General features: G+C 38.4%; 1 protein-coding gene across 53 annotated transcripts in view, besides 1 other annotated feature; it reads left to right on the top strand.

The window, feature by feature from the left end:
* The window catches only part of EDA2R (ectodysplasin A2 receptor), a 43633-nt gene extending 22730 nt beyond the window's left edge, over positions 1-20903 (top strand). For 2 of the 53 annotated variants that reach the window (XM_047442301.1, XM_011531002.2), the window contains exons 2-8: positions 510-606; positions 11314-11492; positions 12034-12119; positions 13743-13907; positions 16445-16501; positions 16674-16771; positions 18447-20903. In XM_047442301.1, the coding sequence (XP_047298257.1) occupies positions 520-606; positions 11314-11492; positions 12034-12119; positions 13743-13907; positions 16445-16501; positions 16674-16771; positions 18447-18533 (759 nt within the window). In that variant the 5' untranslated portion in view covers positions 510-519 and the 3' untranslated portion in view covers positions 18534-20903. 53 annotated transcript variants of the gene reach the window in all.
* Positions 14773-14872: a silencer, noted in NCBI's record as "silent region_20884". NCBI's record gives its function as "represses an Ori minimal core promoter by ATAC-STARR-seq in GM12878 lymphoblastoid cells {active_cell/tissue: GM12878}" and the evidence as "EXISTENCE:reporter gene assay evidence [ECO:0000049][PMID:35858748]".

The following is a 22155-nucleotide window of genomic DNA, read 5'->3' as shown; positions in this document are numbered from 1 at the left end:
AAAATAAAGATGACAATCTCTATAATGCTTACCTCACATGGATGTTGTGTAGATCAAATAATAATAGATGTGAAAGTACTTTCTAAATTGTTATGATCTGTTCACACATGAGGGATTGTGATTATTCTTTACCCCCTGGGCAGAAGCCAACTCCTTGTCTTATTACTCTCTTTACAAATTCAGCTCCTGGTATAGCCACTGACTGTGAATTTGAGCAAATTGCTTGGTCTCTTTGCCTCAGTTTCTTCATCTGTAAAATGTTGCTAACAATAATTCTTAATATGATTGTCTTGAGAATGGAATGAGTTACTACATGCAAAGCATTTACAAGAACTCATGGCACATGGTCAGAGCTACATAAGCATTAACTCTTTTGTGTTGGCTTCCTCGTCCCTACTATCTCAGATCTAGAGAATAGATTAAGGGGACCCAGAAGCCAAGTGGCATGGAAGCCACTACTTATAGTCCCTTCCCACTAGCTTGCTAGTTCTTGTGTTCTCTACCCACAGCCTTCCCACCATGGATTGCCAAGAAAATGAGTACTGGGACCAATGGGGACGGTGTGTCACCTGCCAACGGTGTGGTCCTGGACAGGAGCTATCCAAGGTAAGTTATCCTATTCAGTACACTTATTTCTGTTGCATCTTAGGAACCAGCCCGGCAACTGAAAGAGGCCAAGATTAGGGGAGTCAGCCCTACTTATGACTGATCCAGTTCAGCGGGTAAAACCTGGGATCCACAGAGTATGCAATAGCAGTCATGATTCCAGCATGAAGTCAGCCTAGCAGGATCAAGGTCAAGGGAAGTTTCCATGAGATAACAGAGTATTTCAAGAATAGATGTGTAATGCAGAGACCCATGAGGACTGTTCAGCATTAGGGTAATCTGTCATCTAAAGCAAGGCCCAACCACATGGTGTTCAAGAGCCAGATATCAGGTCTTAGGAATGAGAAAGAGAGAAGAGCCAAGAAGACCTCTGTTCTAGAGGGTCTGCGCTACTGAGGAAGCTGTGCAATGGAGAATATAGGGATAGGGAACCACGGAGGGTCTAAAATCCCAATTAAAGATAAGGATCAGAATAAAATGACCAGCAAGGCAGAGACTTTATGTAACTTACTTGTTTCAAGCCTGGATCTGCTTAATTGTTCTTTCCTCAGGTCCCTTGTAGGTCCCTGAACTTGGGGGTGGTATTAAATTTTGGCTGCAGCTGGGGCTACAGAGGCCAGAAGCAAGCAGCTAGCAGATGGTTTCTGCATATTCACACTCTATTTTATGCAATTTTTGTTTATTCAGCAGTTGCTTATTGAACACTTGCAGAGTGGCAGGCATGGTTGTAGACACCATGGATATGGCAGAACAAACAAAAATATTTGCCTTCATGGACCTTACCTTCTATTATTAGTGAAAAAATAATAATTGAGACACATACAGAGATAAATGAAGAATCTGGATATGAAGATATGAGAAGAATCAAATTAGGGTGACTGGGTGGCTACTTCAGATTATGAAACAAGGAAAGGTCTCCCTAAGGAGACAGCCTCTGGGGAGAGGATACTAGTGCAGAGTCCCAAGGTGAAAATGAACTAGGCATTTTGAAGGAAAAGGAGGAAGGTAGTGCAATGGGTGTATGGTGAATGAGAGGGAGGGTAGTACACAAAGAGGTCAGAGAGAGAAGTATAGACCAGACCAGATAGCAGCTTGAGGTCTATGAGAAATTTTCATCTTTCTCTAAGTGCATTAGGAGCTCTTTGGAGGGTTTTGGGTTGGAAAGTTATAGGAATCTGTGGCTGGAAAACAACATAATAATTATCTAGCCCACTTTATTCCTACCTTTGTATTTTAAAAAATGAAGAGAATAAGGCGCAGGGATATCAAGAGATACAAGCACTAATTCTAAGTTTTTACACATGGCATTATGTCCCACAGTGGGGTACCCACATGGTTGATAAAGGATCCCAGTACCAAGGAAAGATCGCCAGAGGTAAGGTCATGCTGGACATTAAAATAGATATTAAAGCTTATATATGTGTAATACATATAAGCTTTAGAGCCAGATACACATGGGCATGAGTCCCATCTTTGCTCTGGGCAAATTATTTCACCTCAGAATCAATTAGGATGTAGTAAGTTGAAAGTAACATAAAATTTAACCATGACATGAACCATAAGTATATTTATTTATGTAATGAAGTCTGGAGACAGGCAACCTTTTTGCTTGTTGGGCAGATCAGCAATGTTATCAAGGACTCAGCCTCTTTTCATCCTTCATATTGGACATCTTGCTGTTTTGTTCTCATTGTGGCCTCATGATTGCAAAACTCAAAGCATCATATCTCCATACAATAGTCAAAGTCAGGAATCAGGGGCAAGGTCAAAATAGCTTGCCTTTTGTAGGGAAGAAGTCTTTTCCCAGAAGCTGTCCAACAGATTTTTCCTTATATCTTATGGTCCAGAACTGGGTGATGTAGCTATCTTTAGCTGGAATAGAGACTGGGAAATAAGTATCTGGCCAATGAGAATGGGATTGTGTGATTAAGACCAATCAAGAATCCGTTCTGGAGGCTAGTCTTCATGCCACCTAGAATGAAATCAGTGTTTTTATAGTAAGGAAGAAGAGGGGCAATTGTTTGAATAAGCAGCTAGAAGCATCTGATAGCCTTTTTTAAAGTAACTTTTATTTACTTTTAAATTTTACTCATGAATTATAAACATCACTGTAAATAAATCATTGCAGAAAATTAACACCATTTCCTCAGGACATTTTTCTTGATGTATAATTGCCAAGCTAAATAATGCGTACGATTTTAAGACTCTTGAAATATATCAGCAGATAACACTTCTGAATTTTGTTTATACTAATTTCTATTACCATTACATTTATTTTCAACAGTGCATAGAATTCCTGTTGTGGCCCTCTGTTCGGGGTCCCTGACTTCCCACAACAAATTCCCATGTCCCAGAAGCCTAAACGCAAATGAATAATAGATATTTTCATGATCTATTAATTTTATGCCTTCCTTTTAACAGTAATTACTAATTTATGAGGACTTTATGAGAATTTTGGTTTTACTTTTTATCTATTTGATAGGGGAAATGTACCAACTTTACTGTGTTTATTTGCCCATTTGCCTTTCCAATTTTGTGATCTATTTCTGATTGTTTCTCTTTCTATTCTTTCTATTCATTATGTATTGTTCTTTGTCTACTCACATAAGGAACCTAAGTAGACAGACATATAGTAGATAACAGAGTATTTTAAAAATCGTTTAAAATGTAAGTATATTTGTATTTAAAAACCAGAAATGCTTTTAAATTTTGTTTCATTTTAGTATCATCTGTTGATTTGTAAATATATTTTCCCTTTGATGTATTAATTTGATGACATGTATTAATAAATTCCTAAAATTTAAATATCCTGCATTCCCAGTATAAACCATTCTTGATTATAGTTTTAAGGTAAATACCCTTTTATGTTGTATAAGTTAGTATTTTAACTAAAACAAATAATTATTATTGTAACACTATCAGCATCAAAATTTTGGATCAGCATTGTGCTACCATGGCAAAATCAAGAATATCAATGTTTTCTGGCTATAAAAGTGGTTAATAGCAAAAGAAATTTTGCACCTTAATGATTTGAAAGAACTTCCTTTGCCTCCTAATTATGAAGGAGAATTCTCAATAAATTTTTAATGATAATTTGCTCCTTAATTTATTAAAAATTATTCATTTATTTAATTTTTATTGAGTACAATTTGATAGTCTTTGGTTTTATTTCACTATGCCAATCCCTGTCTTTTAATTGGCTTACTTAGAACATTTATGTTTAAATAATCTTTGATATTTTAAGATTTAAACCTAACATTTTATTCTTTTTGTGTTTGTTTTCTCTGTTTCTTTTGTCCCTCTATTTGTCTTTTCTTGCCTTCCTGTGGGTTCCATGAACATTTTATTTAGGATTCCATCATGATTTATTTGTAGTGTTTTTGAGTGTGTCTCTTTGTATCATTTTTTTAGAGGTGGTTCTGAGTATTACATGAAAAACTAACACGTTACTTTTTCAATGTCAGCTGGTATCAACATTTTGCCATTTCAAGTGAAGTATTGAAATATCTGTTCCATTTAGATTCCTTTACTTTCCCCACTTTTAAATATCATTGTCACGAATATCAGATATAATTTTTGTTAAATTTGTTTTAGTCATCTACTATGATTTATAAAATGTATGAAGAGAAAGATAGTACATTTTATACAACCATATTTTTTCTTTCCCAGTGTTCCTTCCTTCCTGATGCTCCAAGATTTCTTCTTTTATCACTTCCACTCTTTCTTAAATCATTTCATTTGTGTTTTATGAACTCTCTTTAGAATTATTTAAGGGTAGGCCTACTAGCAACTCATTCTGTTAGTTTTCCTTTGCCTGAGAATGTTTTTATGTCCCTTCATTTCTGGGGATACTTTCACTGGATATAAATTTGCAGTTGACAGTTTTTTTATTTCAGTACTTGAAAAATGTAATACTTCCTTCTTGGCTTCCATGGCTTCTGACAGAAACCCACTGTCGTATCATTTGAATGGGTGTTTTTCTATAGGTAATGCCATTTATTCTTGGCTATTTTCAATATATTTTTTTTAGTTTTCAGAAGTTTTATTATGATGTGTATTGGTGTGCATTACTTTGGATTTTTTTCTGTTTGGGATCTGTTCATCCTCTTTAACTTGTAGGTCTTTTACCAAATTTGTGAAGTTTTCTTCCAATTTGTTTGAAAATATTTTTAGATAAACATTTAAAAAATTTTCTTTTCATAAGATTCTGACAATATGATTTTTCTATATTTTGTTATAGTCTCATAGGTTCTTGAGGCTTTGTTCATTTTATTTTGTCATTTTCTCCCTGTTGTTCATATTGCATAAATTCTGTTGTTCTGTCCTCAAGTTCACTGATTCTATCATCTGTCTCTTCTCTACTACTAAGCCCATCCAGTGAATTTTTAAAATTTCTGTCATTTTATTTTTAATAATTACCATCTGTTTATTTAAAAAAAACTTCTGTTTCTTTGATGAGATTTTCTATTTTTAAGAGAATTTTAAATTGTTTTTTAAAACATTTTTATTATGGGTGCTTTAGAATCCTTGTTCAATCATTCCAACATCTGCTTTATCTAAGAGTTGCTGTCAGTTAATTGACTTTTCTCATTCATGTTGTGATTTTCCTTATTCTTATTATCATGGGTGGTTTTTCGTTGTGTTCTGGACATTTTGTCAATTATGTCAGGAGACTCAGGGTCCTATTTAAACTTTTACTTTAGCAGGCAGTCATCTGTTTATGTTTAGCATACAGGTTTTGGCCTACGTTTGTGAGCTGCAGTTCTAAAGGCTATTTAATTTCCAGAACCTTTGTAGTGTGATTTTTGGTCTGCGGGGTTTATCTTGTGCTGCCTCAGGTATAGACGATTTCCTGGGCCAGGTCACTTGGTCCATTTAGGTCGGCATAAAGAAGTGTCTGAGTTGTAGAGTCAAAGAACATTTCCCATGCTCGACCACTTGTTATTAGTAGGATACCACTTGCCAGTATACCCCAGCCACCTGTTCCTATGTGGGGGAAAATAATCTCAGACCCACAGGACAAAGAAGCATTTGAGCTGGTTACTTATGGTGGAATCTCAAGTGCCCCCTGCAGCCTATTGTCTCTAGTTGTGTGTGGGGAATCGCAGGCCCATGGGGAAGAGGCTTCTCAGGCCAACAATTTGTGCCTCAATTTTGCTTATTTGTGAAACATGGATTATATTGCACCCTTATAAGGTTTTATGATGAATAAACAAGTATATAAATTCATGAGTGTGTGGATTTTTGTCTGATTGATTCAATTATTTAGTCACAATATTCAGAATAGCATCCTCATGCATTGTAGTTGCTTCAAAAATGTTTTCTGAGTTAACCAATAAAATGAAAGGGAGTGCTAACCAATTAATCAATCAATCAATCACTCAACTTATTGGTTAACTTTCAATAAATGCTAGCTTGCTTTTGTCATTCCCTTCTCTAGCAAGTGAGTAAGTGAGGAGTCAGGCACATATCTTCTGATTCCAGTGCTATAGATAGAATAAAAACTTGCTTTCCAGAAGAACAATACCTAATGTTCATCTGTTCATTGAAGGATTACTATGTTCTAGGCATGGTGACAAGCACTACACACAACCCACACACAGAGCTATATATGTATCTGTGTGTGTGTGTGTGTGTGTGTGTGTGTGTGTGTGTGTGTGTTTGTGTATCTGGTTAAGAGACATCCTTTATCTAAATAAGAGCTGTTTGTGTTTCTTTTTCTGTGAATATATGTTTAGTTTCTCATAAGGTGGTTGTCGTTAATTTATACTAGTTCTGTGTTATCGGAATATAAATCTTTAGTCTGTGATATGGTGTACATCTTTTTACTAGTTCATTATTTGTCTTCTAATTTTGCTTATGAATCTTTTACCCTGAAACTTTTTAAAATTTTTATGTAATTATATCTATCTTTCCTTTACTGCTTCTGGACTTCGTGTTGCAGTTAGAGAAAATTTCTCCACTCCCAGATTAAAGAGGAATTTATTTATATTTTGTTTTGGTACTTTTTGGTTTTAATTTTTATCTATAAATTTCTGATCTATTTTGGTGTATAGTGTGAGGAATGTATCAAATTTTATCATTTTTCACATTGTCATTCGGTTATCCAACATAACCTATTTAAAAAGCCAGCTATTCTCCATTGCTTTGGGATATTCCTTTTGTTCATTTGGTCAGCTCATGTAATCTTAACAAATCTATAAGTTGGATAGCATTATTTCCAATTGGATTGACAAGAAAATTCAGGCCCAATGACTTGCCCAAGGTCACATCGCTGGTCAGTAGTAAAAGTGGGAGTTAAAGATAGGTCTTCATTACCTTGGATCAGGGATTTTCATCACTACATTATATTTCCTAATAATTTGACCCCCAGCTCACTGTTTTAAGCAGATATGGAAGCTATCACCATTCCAGTGGTGCACATAAGGTAGCAGAGATTCCAAGAAACCCTTTAACTTTTCAAGAAACTTAGAGCATGAGTAAAATGACTACTGCCCATGTCAGATCCCATTGGTAGATGGGATCATTGTGAGTGAGGCTGCAAGGCATTGAGTAAAGCCTGAGTGGGCAAACATGGGGCAGAATGGAAGGAGTATTTCGAGCCTGCCTGATGCTCACTTTTTCCAACTCCTGGGAAAGTATAACTTAAATGTTAGTTCAGGTAATATTAACTGCTGTAACAAATACTAAAGTTTGGTGACATAAGAGGTTAAGGGTTTATTCCTGAATGTGACTCCAATCCATGTTGGGGAGTAGGAAGATTCTTCTCAGCCATTCAGGAAGCCAGGCTTATGGGAGCTCTGTGTTTTTTAAGCAGCCTTATTAAAATACAGTTCACATACCAGTCAATTCACCCATTTAGGTTTACAATTCATGGTTTTTGGTATACTGCATTATGATTTTTAAGATTGTGGTAAAATATGTAATCTCAAATTTGCTGTATTAGACATTGTAAGTGTATAATTCAGCAGCATTAATCACATTCACAATGTTATGCAACCGTCACCCCTTTATTTCTAAGACTTTTTATTACCCCAAATACAGTCTCTGTATGCCTTAAGCAATAACTCCCAATTTCCCCCTCCCCAAAGTGCCTGATAGCCTCTACTCTCTGTCTCTACAAATTTTGCTATTCTAGATATTTCATGTAAGTGGAATCATATTTTTTCATGCAGTCACCTTTACCAGAGATATTTACTCTTTGCATGGCTTTGGGTTACTCTCCATTGTCTGTTCATTTCAGCCTGAAGGACTCTCTTCTTGTAGTCAGGTCAAATGATATCAATCAGCTGTTGTTTGTCTAGGGATGTTTTAATTATTCCTTTATTTTTGAAGAACTTTTTTCTGTATATAGAGTTCTTGGTTAACAGTTTATTTGTTTAGGCACTTATATGTCATCTCACTGACTTTAAGTCTCTGCACTTTGTGATGAGAAATATGCTTTGAATCTTATCGAGAATACCTTTACTTGACAAGTAATTTCACTCTTGATTTTCAATATTTTCTCTTTGTTTTCAGCTATAAACATTTTTTGATAGTGTATCTCAGCATAGGTCTCTTTATGTTTACTCTGCTTGGAGTTTCTTGAGCATCTTGGATGGGTTAATTTATGTCTTTCATCAGATTTGAGAAGTTTTAAGCCATTATTTCTTCAAATATTCATTCTCGTCCCCCATCTCCCTGTTTTTTCTGTGAATCCCATAATGCATATATTGGTCACCTGCATGATGTTCCACAAGTTCCTTATGTTCTGTTTACTTTCTTCTCCTCAGACTTGATAATTTAAATTGTCCTACATTCAGGTTTGCTCATTCTTTCTTTTACCTACTCAAATTCTCTAGTGAAGTTTTCATTTCATTTATCTTACTTTTTAGCTCCAGTATTCATGTTTGGTTCCATTTTACAATTTTTCTTAACCAATATTCTCACTTTGTTTATACATTTGTTTCCTGATTTCTTTTAGTTCTTTGTCCATGTGTGTCTTTGAGCAAATTTAAGACAGTTCTTTTAGTCTTTGTCTACTAAGTGCAATGTCTGGGCTTCCTCAAGAATAGTCTCAATTCTTTCTTTTTCTTGTTCCTTTGAATGGGCCACACTTGCCTGTTTCTTTTTACACTGTGTGATTTATTTTTTTGTTGTTAAAAACTGGGCAGTTTTGTATTGTAATGAAGTAACTCTGGTAGTCAGATTTCCCCTCTTCCTGTTTTACTTTTGGTTTTGGTTTTGTTTGTTTGTTTTCTAGATTTGTGTTGTTGAAGGCTATAGTAGTCCATCTGTTGTTGTTATTATTATCATTATTGTTATTATTATTATTTTGTTTGGGACTGGGTATTGCTCTGTCACCCCAACTGGAGTGTAGTGTCATGGTTATTGCTGACTTCAGCCTCCACTTCCCGGGCTCTAGCGATCCTCCCATCTCAGCCACCTGAGTAGCTGGGACCACAGGTGCATGCCACCATTCCCAACTAATTTTTGTATTTTTGGCAACAAGGCTTTGCCGTGTTGCCTAGGCTAGCACTCCATTTGTTTAGGTGTTTTTCCAAACTATTTTTGTAGAGACTATTTTTTGTCATGTATCGCCATTGAAACCTATGTTAATTTAGCTCATGTTCAGCTAATGTTTGGACAGCAATTTCATTGAATGCTAAAAGTTAAAAAATGACAACAACAACCAAAAGAAAAAATAGTCACACATTACTCTCACATTTTTAGATTGGCTCTGTGCTGGGGAACTACTTAAACAGTTAGCCAGATGTGCACTTAGCTTAGGGATCAGCCTGACATGTAAGCTTTAGGTCTCCACTAGTATTTTCTGAGCATGTGTCTTGTATGCACACACCTTTCTAAATTCCTCCATGTGGATACTTTTGAATGTACTTATTTCTAAAGGAACCTCCCCCAGCTTTTGCTCCCAGATTCAGACAGTCTGTTTTATGTCTTAATCCATAATCATTGCCCTAGGTATTGTGGTTTGTTAGTTTGCCTTGCAACATTTTGAAACAGTGCCCATCACTTTTCCAATCTGCATTCTCAATCGAGTGGAACATACATAAATACCTTGTATCAGTCCTTCAAATAGCCCTCAAATAGGTTAGGACAGACATACACAGTAATTTGTCAATAAGTTTTGCTTAGCTCACTCTGGAATCAGGTACTGAGGTCTCACACTAGGAATACAGGCTGAGGCTACTTTAAGACTTCCACTACTTTAGGACTGCCACTGCTCTGGGGTGAGGGATGTAACAAGTACAAGTAAAAATAGCAGAAAACTTTCCTATTATTTTCAAGTGACCTTTTTCTTGATTTAACATTTACATGGTTGATGTAAGCCTTTGAATGTTTTCCAGAGTTCTGACAACATTGATTATGACAGTTCCTGCTTGTTTTTCTATGTTTCTGTAGGGGCATAAGAGCTTGAAGCTGCCTACTCCTCCATTTTATCTGGCTTCCGCTATCATTCTTAATATATTTATTCCAAGGTTTCCAGGGGTGTCAGCATGCACTGGAAAATGAATGTATGAAGAAAATTTAAGTATCACACAGGACATGTTTTTGAGTCAAGCCTGGGAATGGCAAACAATATTAGTATCCATATTTCATTGGCTAGAAATGATGCACATGCCCCCACTTCATTGCAGTGGGGTTAAAGAATTTTGGCTAATGGTGTTCCCAGGAGAAATAAAGAATAGGTTAAGTGAACAACCAGCCAGCTTCTGCTACAACTAGCATACAATTAATATGCTTTCACAACTAGAATTGTTTCTTTGAGAAAGAGCTGTGACTGGTATCAGGCAGGAGCCTTGTTCCTGTTGAAGTTAGGCTGTCAGATCTAAGAATCTCTAGAGAGCATTTATTTCAATTTCCTCAGTGTTGGGACTTCTGATGCCCAGAAACTGGGGGTCGGGGGGAAGGAATATGGCCAAAGTTAGTACCAGAGCTGAGACAAGAGCCAGCTAGAGTGTTTGCCTCTCATCTATACCATTGGCATTCAAACATTTTTTACCATGACCTAGAGTAAGAAATAACTTTTTATCACAACCCAATATATACTTTCATGCATTTTATCTGTAAAACTTTTATAAAACAGTACTTATGTGGGTAGTGCTTATGACTATTTGTCAAATATTTCAGCTCCCCACATTCTGTCACATTGTAGAATTGCATTTTCTTGTACCTGTTGTAGTTATTAATGATCATGTGATGTGTATGGCCAAGGACATGTGAGTAAAGCAATATGGGTCATTTCTTGGGGAAAACTTTAAGAGCTTGTACGCAGTTCACAATGTTTCAATCATAAAAGCAGAAAAATAAAGCTTCTGTAACCCCGGGTACCCCATTGAGGATGATGTACAGCAGAGTCCTCAGGAACCCCCTGGTAGGCAAATATGATGAGTGAGAAATAAACTTTTATTCTTTTAAGACACTGAGATTTAGGGTTTGACTTTTGCCATACTGCAGCATAGCCTATGCTGACTGATACAAATACTTAGCTTTACTTCATTCCATGTACTCTTATATTTGATACTATTATTCTATTTCATTCTATTTTATCTTTCAATGCTGGCTGGAAGCTAGTGAATTGGTTTTATGACTTAGTAATGGGGTTGCAAGTTGCAAAATACTACCCTGTACAGTCCACTTGTCCCACAGGTGATCCCATCTCCAAGCTCCTATAAAGCAATATTAACAACCCCCATCTGTCTACAGGATTGTGGTTATGGAGAGGGTGGAGATGCCTACTGCACAGCCTGCCCTCCTCGCAGGTACAAAAGCAGCTGGGGCCACCACAGATGTCAGAGTTGCATCACCTGTGCTGTCATCAATCGTGTTCAGAAGGTCAACTGCACAGCTACCTCTAATGCTGTCTGTGGGGACTGTTTGCCCAGGTGAGCTTGCTTTATGAGACCAAGCTTGTCTGGGCTTTTCTAGCTGTTGGAGGTTTCTCCCATCCTCACCTCTCAGAACTTAGTCGAAATATTCTTCTTATAAACATAATATTCAGTTTAAGCTCCCAGAAGAGAGAAGTGGTGTCTTCCCAAGATACCTCTATAAAGTGCTTAGCACATTGTCAGTCACAGATGAGTACTTGACCGCTTTTCCATCATCACTCTCAGCTGAAGACCAAAGTTCAAGGTAAATCTCACTGTAGACTTAAAAGAAGTTATGATGTACTTGGTATCAAAGCAGTGCACCCCTCTCTTGTGGAATTAGGTCTCCTTTTGGCTACATGGTGTCATGAATGGGGGAAGAAGTAGAGTGTCTGGGTCTCTGAGTCAGAAAAAGACACAGAGGCAGATAACTCAGAAAGAGGGGTGGGCACTTACTTTCAGGTTGGCAAGATTCTTAGGAGCTGCTTTCCCAGGAAGAACTGGTCCAAGTGCATTGCTTGTTTGATCACCCTGCCATTCCTAATTGCTCTGAACACAGGTTCTACCGAAAGACACGCATTGGAGGCCTGCAGGACCAAGAGTGCATCCCGTGCACGAAGCAGACCCCCACCTCTGAGGTTCAATGTGTGTACCCAGTTCTCTTCTTCCCTTTCTCCTCATCCCATTGGGTGGCAGCAAGATAGGGTAGTAAAGACTACCCATATCCCCTCATACCTTTTCATGTAGAGTAGAGTGGCAAGGGAATCAGATTAGAAGTCTGGTTTTACAACATATTATCTTTGCAACTCTATGCAAATCATTCAATCTCATTGAACCTCATTTCCTACTTCTGAAAAAAGGGTGAGTCATGATAATCATTTTTCTTCATACCTTGTGTGATGGGTATCTAGGTCTAATGAGAAAATGGATGTTAGGAAGCACTTCACAAATTATAATATTTGTAAACCTATGAGATATTATTATTATATGAAGTATATAGGAGCCCCTAGGGCTGAGGACTTGTAAGAGGCTGAATGAAGAACTAGGGTCCAATCTATGCCTATACCACTATCCATTTATCTAATCGTCTATCTTTTTTGTCTACCATCTATTTACTTACTTCCTATTTTAAAATTATTGACATATTTTTTAAATCATGAAAGTTTTCAAACATGTAGAAATATTTTTAAGTGCAGAAAAATATAAAATTAAAATGCAATCACCCAGCATCTATCCAAAGTTAATAAATCATAGCATTTTGCATATTTGCTTCAGATGTTTTAAAAGAATAAAGATTCCACAGATATAATGGAATTCTCTTCTAGATTCTCTCAGAGTCCTATTACCTCCCTACCTCCTCAGATACAACCACTATCCTGAAATTGTATGTATTCTGTTGGTAGGCTATGCTAAAGTAACAAACAAACTGCAAAATCTCAGTGACTTTATACAATAAAAGTTTATTTTTTTTTTACTATGCAAAGGCCTTCCTACATCATTTGACTGTGCATTCTAGACCATATGTCTTCCAGGTCAATGACACAGGGGAAGAGATGGAGGAGACATACTGGTTCTTAACTGCCTCAGTCTGGAAGTGACACATGTTATTTCAACTCACAGTTCATTGGCCAGAAGTACTCTGATGGCCTTACTGCAAGGGTGTAAGGGAAATACATGGGAGTATGTGGATAACTGGTGAGCACTATACCTCTGCCATACTCTCCACTAATGTTTTAATACTTGGGTTCTTTTGTGATATGTGTGCATATTCATAACCAATATATGCTATTGTTATGTATTGTATAATGTTTTATAGAAATGATATCAAGCTATATGTTCTGTTTCTCCAACTTCCTTTTTCCCCCTCTAGATTATTTATATTGATCCATAAAGGCCTTTAAGTGCTGTATAATAATGTAAGATTTTAGGATTATATCATGATTTGTTTATCTTGTGCTCTACTGATGAATTTTTTAGCTTGTTTCCATTGATCTGGATTATATAATTAGATGTGGCACAGAAAGATCACAGGATATGTGCATCTTCGATTAATTGTACTAATTTCTACATACCAGCACTATATACAAATTATTTTGCCTTGTTCTTTATAATTTTGCCTGCTCTAGAAAGAAGTAAAACCAGCATAGCCACCCTAATTGGGGAAGGCCCTAGGGAGAAGGGTGACAGCCTGAGGAAGTCCAGGTCCAGGGTCAGGGTGACTGTTTACTGCCCATGCTAACTGACCTCCCCCATTTTTTTGTCTCACAGGTGCCTTCCAGTTGAGCTTAGTGGAGGCAGATACACCCACAGTGCCCCCTCAGGAGGCCACACTTGTTGCACTGGTGAGCAGCCTGCTAGTGGTGTTTACCCTGGCCTTCCTGGGGCTCTTCTTCCTCTACTGCAAGCAGTTCTTCAACAGACATTGCCAGCGTGGTAAGGGTGGCTGTTTCATGTTTCACATGAATCAGGAACAAGGCTCTTATTGGCAGAAGAGAGGGATGTTCTGGGGTTGAGAGACAATGGGCCTTTTCTACCATGCTTGAAAACCCCATGAATAGTCTTCTGTTGGCCTGGGGAACTATCTGGGGCTGCAATGGAAAGCATGGGACTTAAGAGATTACTGAAGCCAACCCTGAGAGTTTAGAAGACCTGGTTCATTATGTTTCAGGGGATTTTAAAGGAATGTGGCACGGTGGGAAACCCCTCAGGAAAGGAATCGGGAGACCTAGGTTCTATGTCTACCTCTAAATCACCGTGTAACCTTAGACAAGTCATCTAGCCTCTTCAGACCTCTTTCTTCCTAATCTTTAAGATAAGAGATAGGATTGGATTTGTTGATTTCTGGGTTCTTTTCCAATTCTTTATATCTATACTAGTAGGTATAAATTCTAGAGCATGTCATGAATTGAGGAAGGCTTGGCTATATCTGAGATACGACTGTAATAAAAGTGGTTGAGGTCTAAGGCCACTGCTATCAGTATAATAACTTCACAAATGGGGATAACTGAAAGCCCTATGTCCAGAGTAGTTGGCAAACCTGGACTTTCTCCCTCAGATAATACTGATGTCAAGAGGTCTAGCCCAGTCCATATCAGACAGCCATGCAAAATTCCAGATGGAAAATCATATTTAAAGTCACAGTAACATTGTGATCTCTATTAAGCACAACTTCAGCTACTAGACAAGAATGTGGGACAGAAAAGCCAGCTCACTGAGGACAAAGATGGGGGAGGTGGGAATGTGGCTGATCAGGACCAGGCAAAGAGTTAGAACTCCAGCCAAGAGTACCAAGGTTCAGTGCAGCTTCATTGCCATTAAGGGAACTGAGAGTTAGGCAGGGACACTGAAACAGGAACTCAGATCAGAGAATGAAGTTGATTTATAAGGGGGAAGATAAAGTTTACTAGATAAAAGAGTGCTCAGGACTCCTTTTCAGCCCACTGGATACTGTGTGCAAAGCTGCAGTATTTGTGTGGGAAGATCCTGCTAATGTAAATTTGCCTTGGGTCAGTTTGGCTCTGGGGCCTAGCAGATGATCTTGAAAAGCCCAAGAGGTATGTTTGGTTGTGCCCTGGCTTAATTGGAGATGAATATAGCATTTCATGGGCTGCAGGATACACGGGGAACACTGTTGTTCCTTTATGATTTTTCTCAAAGTCTACTTCTTGCTAGCTCCTGGGACACTGTGACTCAAGGTAGACCTTCCTGTCTCTGACTTTGGAGGCCAGTGTCCCAGATAAGAGTTGTTGCTTAGGCCCTGGGTGCATGGACATGAAACATGAGCAATGAAGCATTTGGACTCCAGGGTCCAGAAGATGAAAATGAGAAAATATCAGAGAGCTGCCTCAGAAGAAGAGAGATGGGTAACCCTTTTCTGCTCTCCTTCTATCCTGAAGATAATAATGTGGTAACCTGCTTGGAATATGAGGGCAGGCAGTTTCCTCACTGTTTTTATAAGGGCTAGGAAGGCTAGACATTTTCTTACTTTGGAAAACTGTTTTTCAGGAGTCACTGACTTACACACATACTGGGGTGAGATGTATGTGCGAATTAAATCCAGTGTAAGGTTGCAAGAGAGAAAAGTGCAACTGTGGCAAACTACAGAGCACATCCCTTATCTAAAGGGGAATCCCACTACTTGGATCCAGCTGTTTGTAACCATATGGAAATATTTAATGTTGCAAGATCTTCTACATTTTCAAGAGAATTCAGAAATCTGGATTTTTTTTAATGAAGTTGTGTTAACCATAGTCAATGAATTTGAATAAAGAGCAAAATCACAACCAAAGCAAAGAGGACAAACACAAATCCCATAGGTTCTCAGTTTGTGACCTGATGTTGAACCAGATCCATGCATGAAGGGGGTATTACTTTTCTATCATGGCCATAACAAATTGCCACACATTTAGTAGCTTATTATCACAGTTTCCATAGCTCAGAAGTTCAGTAGGCTCAATTTTGTCTCTGCTTAGAGTCTCACAATGCCAAAATTAAGATATTGGCAGGGCTGTGTTTCTTTCTGGAGTCTCTGGGAGAGAATCTGCTTGATCATGCACAAAAGTGGCAGAATTCAGGTCTATGCAGTTAAAGGACTTAGGTCCCATTTCCTTGCTGGCTGTAAGCTGAAGGTCATTCCTAGCCTCTAGGACCACTTACATTCTTTGGCTCATGGCCCCCTTCTATTTTCAAAACTAGCAATGATGAGTTGAGTTCTTCTCATGCCACATCTCTCTGATACTCTCTGTCTCCTCTGCCTTCCTCTTCTGCTTTTAGGGACACAGGATTACATTGGACCCATAGAGTAATCCAGGATTCTCTCCTTATTTTGAAATCCATAACTTTAATTCCATCTGCAGAGTCTAGTTTGCCATGTAACTTAATGTACATAGACATAAGACCAGGCCATGAAGATTATGGCAAGGGAGATGGTATCAAAATCCTGTTTCCCACAAAGGTTTCTTTTTCTCTAGAGAAATTGATTATTTTCTCTGATCCAGTACCAGCTAGCCTCAATCTGATACCTGAATGTAAGTATGTTTCTCAACTGTGTCACCTCAGCCTGGTGCTAGGTGCTCTAGACCCCAGGGAGAGGAAGGAAAGAATCAGCTCCCAGACCTTTACCTGTCTTGTACTCAGTACCCAGTGCCCAGCTGAGAAGAGCCCCTGCTTTTGGGTAACCCAGTGGCTTTCTGCTTCGAGTTGCAGGAGGTTTGCTGCAGTTTGAGGCTGATAAAACAGCAAAGGAGGAATCTCTCTTCCCCGTGCCACCCAGCAAGGAGACCAGTGCTGAGTCCCAAGTGAGTGAGAACATCTTTCAGACCCAGCCACTTAACCCTATCCTCGAGGACGACTGCAGCTCGACTAGTGGCTTCCCCACACAGGAGTCCTTTACCATGGCCTCCTGCACCTCAGAGAGCCACTCCCACTGGGTCCACAGCCCCATCGAATGCACAGAGCTGGACCTGCAAAAGTTTTCCAGCTCTGCCTCCTATACTGGAGCTGAGACCTTGGGGGGAAACACAGTCGAAAGCACTGGAGACAGGCTGGAGCTCAATGTGCCCTTTGAAGTTCCCAGCCCTTAACTCTAATGAGGTGAGCTGGAAAGGTGGATCAGAAAAAAACAAAAAAAGCAAAACAGAAATTAAGGACTAACCTCAAGGAATTCTCTTTTGGAATAGTATTATTCACTAGGAGTGGAGGAACAGCAGCAAGCTAGGAACACTTTGGGTGGAGGGGCAACAGTGGTGATGCTAAACTTTTAAGCCAGACAGATATCACACTTCTGGGTCTACAATTGTCAGGGAACTGGCAAGGTTGTCATGATACCAGTCTCTCCATTCTGGTCTTTCGTAAGCTCTCTCAGGGCCCCACTATCTAATGGTCATATTCAGGTATCTCCCTTTATGTGTGCAAGCAGCATAGCACAGTAGAAAAAGATATACAAGCCTTGTCATCTGGAAACCCTACATTTCAAATCAACCTTCATTCCCTAATAACTATACAAACCTTGTGTGTATGTCACTTCATTTTACATTTTACAGAGGCAGGAACTGAGACACAGAGAGGGAAAGTTAGTTTCTCAAAGTCACAGGGCAAATTAGTGGGCTAGAACTGTGCAAGAACCCAGGTTTGGGGGCTACATTTTAGAGTTGGTTCAACTCCACCATTGCAACCATTTGATAGCCAATGTTACTTTCTCAAAGCTTATGTAGCATGAGGTAGGAGAGTAGGTAGATTCCCAGTTTTCAACTAACCAAATATCTTGCAGTGCCCACTTCCGTATTTCTTCAGTTAATACATTTTCAGTTCTCCCAATGACTTCCCTGCTCCCTGCATCCAACCTAAGAAAACGTGAACAAATGTATATTTGAAAGTCATAACTGATATCAAATTTGAAAGTTATAACTGATGTCAAATCAATCAACTTAGGTACCTTCAAGGTTATCTAGTCCAGTTCTTCTTCCAAGGTTTGGGTCCATTTTATAATATCCCCACTAAGAGTTTGTGTAGTCCTTGCTCACATACTTTAGGTGGCAGAGGGCTGACTACTTCTCAATGTATATTACAGTATACACAATTGTGACTGGTGGGTTTGAGCTCAATGTAAGAAAGAGCTTTCCCTGTAGTACCCGCCTATCCATCCTGGCTCTGTTCCTCGTGCCAGACAGACCTCATCAGTTTCCTCTGCTTTAAGATAGCCCTGCAGAGGCTTGAAGACAACACCACCTCTCTGGAGAATACCACTTTAGGTTCTTCTAAAGTATGTGGAGCTTAGAACTAAACCTATCTTCAGGATAAATGGTTTCAACAATGTAGAATAGGGTAGAATTGTCATATCCCTATCTAGGTAATGTCTTTCTGCTATTACATCCTCAACCATTGGCTTAACCTATGATATTTGGAGGGGTAGAGAAAGAAGGGTGCTAGTGAGATTTCCCCACATGTTTCTAACTTGGTTTGCTCTCTCCTTAGGTCTCTTGGGCCCCTGGCAGCCTTGCCCAGTTGTTCTCTCTGGACTCTGTTCCTATACCACAACAGCAGCAGGGGCCTGAAATGTGATGTCCACAAGAGCTAATACCCTACAGATGGGGCATATCCTATCCCATCCCACCAGAGGATTGATTCTCCATTTCACAAGGACTGATCTGGAGCATTTCTTGCTTCCCTTTTGTAGTCTGGGGAGCCAGATTCCACATTCATGGGACTACCAGACATGTTCCTAGCTCAACTTGATTATAGAGAAGAGGAGAGAGGACAGTGAATGGGGTAGGGTTTTCATGTCTGCATTTTTGGTCAGGTAAGCCTCTCAAAATTGTGTTGGCACATCTACCTAGCACTTTAGGGACAAAATCAAACCCTTCTCCCCTTTTAGCTCCTCCACACTGTCTCCCTCCTCAACACACACACACACACATACACACACATATACATAGACACACAAACACACACACACACATTAATATCTATCTTGGGGGAGGCCTCGTGCCATAATTCCCAAGTTCATGTCTCAGACTGCTGCATTGCAGCATGAGGCAGGGCAAACACTTTCCCTCTAGATCCCTGGGGCCTCACCCTGTATTTGAGGTTCTCACCACCCTCAGCAGGGAGAAGGGCTGAAGTTCGCCATTTTGGAACCTTACAGAACATTTCTGAGCCAAAGTAATCTTCCTTCTGGGGCCTGAGTTCCCCAAACTACCCCACAGCAGTCCCTCAAAGACAGCCCTCAATCCATGTAGGGACATCTGAGTATGCCTCTTTCTATTGAAATGTCAATTCAATCCCAGCTTTCTCACCACCGTTCCCCTTTGATTCTTTCTCAATTGTCTTTTTGCCTTTAGCTCCCACCTATACATCTCATGCTCAGAGAAAAACAAGTTCCTTAGAGGTTGTATTCTTTATTCTCCAAGAATCTGTCTGAAACTTGTACAGCTAGTTCCTGTCCCACAACTATTAAGTGGTTTATTAAGTACATTAGGCAGAATGTGCACTTCATCACCAGGTTCTAGCTCTGGCAAAGGAGTGCTGTCTACAGCAAGATTTTTGCTTTTAGAATTTTATTAACTACATCTTTTGGGTTCATCCATCTACAAACACTGATTAAGGGCCCCTGGGGCAACCAATTGATCAGATTACTAAAAGGACTTGGGAAAAAGCAAAAAGGTCCCATTGTACTGGACTGAGGATTAGAAGCAATTGAAATACAAGCCTGTACCAAGCAAGCAGCCTGGCCCCACACAGGTATTAGCAAATATGTGGTAACCAAGGTTTTAGGCCTTGGCCTTTAGGTTTCCTGTTTTTTTTTTGTTTTTGTTTTTGTTTTTGTTTTTCTGCAACAGGTTATTCTTATCTCACTGGCTTTCACTGATCATGTTTAGACCTTCTGGTAGAAGAAATAATATCCAGACAGGGGATGATTTGGCTTCAGCAGGCTGCAGGTGTTCAAAGGTTGCCATGTGGCTGGCAGTGGTTCAAGCCCACATTTGACACTGCTGCTCTAGAGGAAAGATAATGATGGTAACACAGTAATAATAATAATAATAACAAAAATATGATAAAGTGAAAGAGTAAGACTTCTTCAGTGTGCTTGCTCATGGCATGAATGCTATGTGGACAGCCCAAGCCATACCCAGAATCACCTTAATTCCAACTTTTTGAGGTTCAGCAATTGGAGGTGGCAATTGGCTTTGCATTTTAAAGTATTTCGGGTAAAGGTGAAGTGAAGGATTTTCGTCTTTATAATTTCTGTTTGGCCATGGCAAATACCATAGTTGAGTATTTGCTTCAGGAGAGTTCTTTTTACAGTTTTACTTTTCAATGCTGAGGCATATTTCTTTGAGCACTGTGCTTTTATGTGTCTTTCTACAAAGGGGTTATTGGTCAGTGGAAGAACAAAGTACACTTGATAAAAACATTTTCAACATACATTGAGCCTAAACAGCAGTTAAGTTGTCTCTAAATGAACTAGCAAAAAAAAAAAATGTAGTTTTTGTTTGTAAGGAAGGGGAGGTATTTCCTGAGAATGAATTTTTTTTTTTTTGGATTACTGTTTTTCTCTCCATATACCTTGACTTGGATTTTGACAGGAGGGAGCCTGGGAAAATAATTTTTTCCTCCAAGATTCTCAGATCCAGGTTAGGAAAGGATTCAGCACTACAGCATACCCCTCTACAACATACAGCCCTGTCACATTGAGATCATAATCCCTCCTGTCCCACTCCTCTCTACCAACCCCACCCTACTAGCTAGGTCTTCAGTGTTTTACATTGAATATTGGTACATTTTAATTATTTTTTCTCATAAATGGGTTATTTATAGAAATTTTGTTAACTCTTGAGCCATATGCATGTGTAGATACTGGCAGGGCTATGTTTGTTTATGATGCTCTGCAAACATTTCATATTGGCCAATAAACAGAAATATATCCAAAAACCTTGTTTATTCCTCTACTTTCAGAGAACCTGGTGAATCATTTTGCTCATGTGTCTTTTCTTAGTGAGCACAGCAAAAAAATGTGTTTCTGATCATTGGACATGGCATCAGTAGTGATGGGATTCACTGACTTGTCACACAGGAGATCTGGGTTATAGTTCAAGCTCTCTTTCTTTTTCTAAAATTGTTTATGCCATTTATATTCTCCTCTGAGATAAGGATCTACTAGAAATTGTTGTGTTCTAAACTAATACTTATCAAACAGGGTTCCATGGTCCTAAGGGAACCGTGCACTGCACATCTTCTGAGGTCTGCAAAATCTTTAGGAATTTCAGTGTGTGTGTGTGTTTTCATTTTGATCATAATGTCTTAAAATACAAGCATATTCTAGCTAGACCTGTTAAGAGTACTGCCTTGCCATTTCAAGGTCTGTATTTGTGTTGATAATCTTACCAGGTTAAAGAGACCACCTAAAGAGAAACTATTTAATTTTGAATGCTATACTTTACTATAATTTAATTTAAGAGATAGGAAAATCAAGTTTCCTTCCATCTTTAATATTCTGTAATCTTTACAACAATACATGTTGGCAAGGATGTGGAGAAATGAGAAGCCTCATGTATTGCTGGTAGAATTATAAAATGGTATAGCCTCTTTTCAAAACAGTCTGACAGTTTCTCTAAAAGCTAAACTTGAGTATGATCCAGTAATATCACTCCTAGATATATACTCAATATAATTAAAAACATATGTACACACAATACTTGTATACAAATATAGAAACATTATTTATAATATCCGAAAAGTGGAAACAACCCAAATGTCCATCAACTGATGAACAGATAAAAAGTTGTGGTATATACATATAATAGAATACTATTCAGTAATAAACAATATTGAACTTCTGACACATAATACATTGTAGATGAACCTTAAATCATGTCAAGTAAAATAAGTCAGATACAAGAGACCACATATTGTATGATTCCATCTATATAAAATATCCATAAAAAGCATGCTAATCAAGACAGAATGTAGATTAATGGTTGCCTTGGAATGGGCATGAGAAAAACAATTAAATGTTAATAGGCATGATGGATCTTATTTAAAGGATAAAGATGTTCTAAGATTTAGTTATGCTGATGTCTTCCCCACTCAATAAAGTTAATAAAAATCATTGACTTGTATACATGAAATTATGAATGAATTTTATAATATTTAGAATATTCCTCAATAAAGCTGTTTTAAAAAT

The sequence above is a fragment of the Homo sapiens genome, chromosome X (genome assembly GCF_000001405.40).
Source record: "Homo sapiens chromosome X, GRCh38.p14 Primary Assembly".
NCBI classification, from domain to species: domain Eukaryota; kingdom Metazoa; phylum Chordata; class Mammalia; order Primates; family Hominidae; genus Homo; species Homo sapiens.
This window is presented reverse-complemented; position numbering and strand designations above follow the sequence as displayed.